This window comes from Homo sapiens, chromosome 6 (genome assembly GCF_000001405.40).
Source record: "Homo sapiens chromosome 6, GRCh38.p14 Primary Assembly".
Lineage (NCBI taxonomy): Eukaryota > Metazoa > Chordata > Mammalia > Primates > Hominidae > Homo > Homo sapiens.
Window position 1 is genome coordinate 15,100,846 of NC_000006.12, and position 6,000 is coordinate 15,106,845.

General features: G+C 44.9%; 1 pseudogene, besides 1 other annotated feature; it reads right to left on the reverse strand.

Annotated features, from left to right (window-relative positions):
- On the reverse strand, positions 2,101-3,366 carry RPL6P17 (ribosomal protein L6 pseudogene 17; annotated as a pseudogene).
- Positions 3,822-4,024: a silencer, noted in NCBI's record as "fragment chr6:15104898-15105100 (GRCh37/hg19 assembly coordinates)". NCBI's record gives its function as "represses an EF-1alpha promoter that drives an FKBP-Casp9 reporter gene in an ReSE screen in HepG2 liver carcinoma cells {active_cell/tissue: HepG2}" and the evidence as "EXISTENCE:reporter gene assay evidence [ECO:0000049][PMID:32094911]".

Below are 6,000 nucleotides of genomic sequence, written 5' to 3' on the forward strand. Positions count from 1 at the left end.
TATATAAATGGAATCAAGTGTGTAATCTTTTGTGTGTGGCTTCTTTCACTCAAAATGTTTTAATGATTCATCCAAGTTGTCGAATTTCTTTTTATTATTGAGTAGTATTGCATTGGATGGACACGACACATTTTGTTCATCAAAACCATCATTTTATTTGGGTTGTTTCCAATGTTTTGCCATAGGAATAAAGCTGCAATGAACATTCTTGTAGATATATATAGATATAATATATATATTTCTTTTGAGTAAATATCTAAGAGGGGAAATCCTGGATTATTTTACATGTATATATGAATTCAACTGCCAACAATTTTTCAAACCGGTTGTACCATTTTGTACCTCAATCATCAAAGTATGACTATGAGAGTTCCAGCTGCTCCACATACTCTCCAGCATTTGGTATTGTTGCCTTTGAAATTTTTGCTGTTCTAGTGGGGGTATGACAGCACCTCGTTTTTTTTTTTTTTTGAAACAAGATCTCTCTCTATCACGTGGGCTCGAGTACAATGGCGCAATCTCAGCGCACTGCAACCTAAACCTCCCAGGCTCAAGCAATTCTCCTGCCTCAGTCTCCTGAATAGCTGGGACTATAGGTGCACGCCACTATGCCTGGCTAATTTTTGTATTTTTTTTTTTTTTTTTGTAGAGAGGGGTTTTTGCCATGTTGTCCAGGCTACCTCATTCATTTTAATTTGCATTTCCTCAATATGCATATTTTCTTTTTTCTTTTTTTTTTTTTTTGAGATGGAATCTCGCTCTGTCACCTAGGCTGGAGTGCAGTGGCACGTTCTCGGCTCACTGCAAGCTCCACCTTTGGGTTCAAGCAACTCTCCCTGACTCAGCCTCCTGACTAGCTGGGATTACAGGCGCCCGCCACCACACCCAGCTAATTTTTGTATTTAAAAGTACTTTTGTACTTAAAAGTAGAGACGGGGTTTCACCATGTTGGCCAGGCTGGTCTTGAAATCCTGACCTCAGATGATCTACCTGCCTCGGACTCTCAAAGAGCGTGAGCCACCGCGTGCGGCTTGCTTGCTTTCTCTCCTTCCTTCCTGTCTTTCTTTCTTTCTTTCTTTCTTTCTTTCTTTCTTTCTTTCTTTCTTTCTTTCCTTCCTTCCTTCCTTCCTTCCTTCCTTCCTTCCTTCCTTCCTTTCTTTATTTGTTCTCTGAGCTCAGTGGATCACACCTGTAATCCCAACACTTTGGGAGGCCAAGGCAGGTGGATCATTTGAGGTCAGAAGTTCAAGACCAGCCTGGCCAACACGGTGAGACCCTGTCTCTACTAAAAATAAAATAATTAGCTGGGCCTGGTGGCATGCGCCTGTAATCCCAGCTACTCGGGAGGCTGAGGCAGGAGAATCACTTGAACCCGGGAGGCACAGGTTGCAGTAAGCCGAGATCATGCCACTGCATTCCATTCTGGGCAACAGAGTGAGACTCTGTCTCAAAAATCATAATAATAAAAAATAAAATGTGTTTGTTCTTTAATTAGTTTCATTCCAAGAAACTCATTTTTGTTTTTTAGGGCTTTTCTTCATCCAGTCTACAGTGCTCTGGCGCAATCACAGCTCACTGCAGCCTCAACTTCCCCAGGCTCATGTGATTCTTCCATCTCAGCCTCCCAAGCAGCTGGGTCTACAGGCATGTGCTACTACCCTGGCTAATTTTTTTTTTTGAGACAAAGTCTCGCTTTGTCACCCAAGCTGGAGTGCAGTGGTGTGATCTCGGCTCACCACAACCTCCACCTCCTGGGTTTAAGCGATTCTTCTGCCTCAGCCTCCCAAGTAGCTGAGACTACAGGTGCACGCCAACATGCCTGGCTAATTTTTGTATTTTTAGTAGAGACGGGGGTTTCACTATGTTGGCCAGGCTGATCTCGAACTCCTGACCTCGTGATCCACCCGCCTTGGCCTACCGAAATACTGGGATTACAGGTGTGAGCCACTGTGCCCTTCCAATTTTTTTTTTTTTTTTGGTATTTTTTTTAGAGGTGAGGTCTCGCAATATTGCCCAGGCTGGTCTTGAACTCCTGGGTTCAAGCAATCTACCTGCCTCAGCCTCCAAAAGTGCTGGGATTACAGGTGTGAGCTACTGCATCTAGTTGTAAGAAACTTGAAACACCAATTTTAAAAGATAAACTCCATTCTCCAGGACAAACTTGGATCACAGGTAGCCCTGGAGCTGAAGAATAGCTTTTTTTTTTTTTTTTTTTTTTTGAGACAGAGTTTCCTTCTGTCACCCCAGCTGGAGTGTAGTAGCACAATCTTGGCTCACTGCAACCTCCACCTCCCAGGTTCAAGAGATTCTCATGCCTCAGCCTCCCAAGGAGTTGGGACTACAGGCACCTGCCACCACACCTGGCTGACATATATATATATATATATATATATATTTTTTTTTTTTAGTAGAGACGAGGTTTCTCTATGTTGGCCAGGCTGGTCTTGAACTCCTGCCCTTGGCCTCCCAAAGTGCTGGAATTACAGGTGTCAGCCACCATGCCTGGCCAAAATTTTTGAGTCCACAGCTTTCTTGGAGGTGGCCGGGGACCAGGGCTTGCTCTGCTCTGTAATCTCACATTTCTCTTTTTCTGTGTTGAAGATCGCACCTTCCTGGTGTCTGGGCTTCCACAGCTGCCTCTTCTTGAAGTAAGCATCAGTGAGCTATTTTGGGATTTTCACATTGCTGATATCAATTTTTGAGGAGGTGGAAACAACAAATTTCTGGTGTGCTCTTCCCAGAGGAACTCAATTGAGAATCAGAGGTTCAGTAAAAAGTAACAAGCCAGTGCCCAGTCGCTTCGGGAAAACCACTGTCTTGCCTCTGCAGTGCCCAGTGAGGATGAGCAGAGTGGTCCTGGGAGAGAGGCTGGCCCCGTTTTCTCACGTGCTGGCTGGTAGGGCTTCTGCCCTGGTTCAACAGCTCCCCAGGCTTATCATCAAGAGGACAGTACCTAGGCAATTTGCAAATTTTAACCACGCAGGTACCATCATGCTTGTCACCAGCAACTGGTTTATTAACAGTGACAAGAACAGTCCTCTTGCTTTTCAACCCTGGATTGAGCAGTTGAGTACTTCCTCTTGTACATGGTCTTTCTGGAATGCACAGCAGATTGGGAATACCTGCCAATTCCTCTGAAGAGGACAGGATTTTGTCTGCAGTGGGGCTTCCCCTTGTTGGTTTTTTTCAGCCTTGAGTCAGGTTACCCTTTTCCACCTTGCCACCTGCATCAACCTTCTTGCCTTCAGGTTTCACCTCCTTGGTATCGGGCTTCTCATCTTTTTCTTGCAAGATGGGAGAGAGAGCTAAGGTCCTGGCTTCCAGTCTATAATCAATCCAGCATATTTTTATGTACTTATTTCCCATTGTTACGCCTTCTTTTGTGAAATATCTGTCCAACTCTTCTTTAATATTTAGTCCTGAGTCCCATAGGCAAGCCCTGATCCCCGGCCACATCTAAGTCCTCATTTCAGGTCCTTTGGACCCAAGGTGAGCATTGCGGTGGGCTTCCAAAACAAATCAAGAGCTCTTACTAAAAGTAGGGTGAATGGATCTGGGTGTCCCAAAACAGTAAATGACCACCACATTGTCTTTCTCTCCCAAGCCTCCACTCTGCTCCATCTTGATCTATCAAGACCCCACCCATCCTCTCAAGGCCAAATCTAAACTCAGCCTCTTCCAAAGAATTTGTCCAAATCCCCTCCTTCCTCTTCACCACCACCATCAGAATAATTTGTTGTATTATCTCATATGACAATTCTCTCACTTTGTGTATTAGTCAGGGTTCTCCAGAGAGACAGAACCAATAGGAGGTATATATAAGGGAGCTTATATTAGGGAGAATTGGCTCACGTGATTATAAGGCAAAGTCCCCACAATAGGCCATCTGCAAGCTGGTGGGAGAGAGAGGCTGGTAGCGTGGCTCAGTCCAAGTCCAAAAGCCTCAAAACCAGAAAAGTCATCAGTGCAGCTCTCAGTGAAAGCCTGAGAGCCCTCAGGAGGCTCTCAGAGTCTGAGTCCAATGCCAAGGAGCCTGGAGTCTGATGTACAAGGTTAGGAGGAGCAGAAGCAAGTGTCCGGCACTGGAAGAGAGAAAGAGCTGGAAGAATCAACAAGCAAGCTAATCCCCCTTCTGCCTGCTTTGTTCTAGCTGCGCTGGCAGCCCATTGGATGGTGCCCCGTCCACAACATTGAGGGTGGGTCTTCCTCTCCCAATCCCCTAACTTAAATGTCAATCTCCTCTGGCAACACCTTCACAGGCACACCCAGGAACCAGCCATCTAGGCATCCCTCAATCCAATATTAATATAATACACCTAATATTAATCAGTACACTCTGCGATTTACTTCCAGGATTTGTGTTTCTGGGTCTCATTGACCCTACCACATTCTAACTTTTTAAAGATCAGAGTCAGTCTTTATTTTATTTTTTTGAGACAGAGGCTTGCCCTGTTGCCCAGGCTAGAGTGCAATGACATGATCTCGGCTCACTGCAATCTCTGCCTCCCAGGTTCAAGTGATTCTCCTGCCCCAGCCTCCCAAGTAGCTGGGATTACAGGTGCATGCCACCATGCCCTGCTAAATTTTTTCTTTTTTTTTTTGTATCTTTAGTAGAGACGGGATTTCACCGTGTTGGCCAGGCTGGTCTTAAACTCCTGACCTCTTGATCCACCCACCTTGGCCTCCCAAAGTGCTGGGATTACAGGCATGAGCCACCGTGCCTGGCCCAGAGTCAGTCTTGCAGTAACTTGGCACAGTATCATATACATAGCAAACTACACATTCCTTCATGCATTCATTCAACAAATATTTACTGAGCATCTTTTTTGCACCAAGCCTAATGCGAGAGAATGGCATGCAATGATGAACAAGATAGGCGCACCCCTGCCCTTGTGAAGCTTGTAATCATATGGAGGATATAGATAGGAAAACAGTCAATAACAGCACAAAGTGGTAAGTACTCTAATTGGAGGAGTACAGAATAATACAAGAGCATATAGGAACCACACTGAGACCTGAAAGATGAAGAGCCAAGTGAAGACTTCATAAAATTGTATTAAATATAAATGATTTAAATTAAAAATTACCAAATATACAAGGAATGGTGAACATAACCCATCAAGCAAAAACAGGGAGGAATTAAAGGTAACTCTTGCCCATTTTAGAGATACGCATCATTTGATTTGCCTCAGATGTGCTTAGGAATTTTTTTTTTTTTTCGAGATGGAGTCTCGCTCTGTCACCCAGGCTGGAGTGCAGTGGTGTGATCTAGGCTTACTGCAACCTCCACCTCCCAGATTCAAGTGATTCTCCTGCCTCAGCCTTCCAAGTGGCTGGGACTCAGGCACCTGCCACTACACCCAGCTAATTTTTGTATTTTTAGTAGAGACAGAGTTTCACCATATTTGCCAGGCTGGTCTTGAACTCCTGACTTCAAGTGATCCTCCCATCTCAGCCTCCCAAAGTGCTGGGATTACAGGTGTGAGCCACCACACCCAACCAGACTTTTTTTTAAAAGCAGGAGGGAGATGTTTTGGAAGGTAAAAAGCCACAGGCTCCCACCAGGAGCAAGAACCAGTGAGTGAGGCTTCCAGATGAGGCTGTACGAGCATTTTGGTGGCATGCAAAATGTAGGGATTCAGGAGGAGGAGGGAGGATGGAAGGAAAAAGTTGAAAAAGCAGTTACGAATTGTGAAGAGAAATGATAGTGTTTATTTCTAAATGACAACTCTTTATCTTCTTACCCCAGGCCTATTTGTTGACAAGCCATTCTGTCAAAATCTGTTGGTCAAGGAAAGGGAGACCCACGTACATGTGGCACATTAGGCCTTGATCTTGTCTCTGTTGGAATTCAAAGGCTCTCCCGTAAGCAATCAGCTTCCTAATGGGCACAAGGCACCTCTGGGAATGGGAATTTGACCAGGTTTGTCAAAACCGCCAGACAGAAGCAGAGTCTTTCTCATTTTCCTGTTTCTATCACAGGAGAGGAGCAACTCCAGG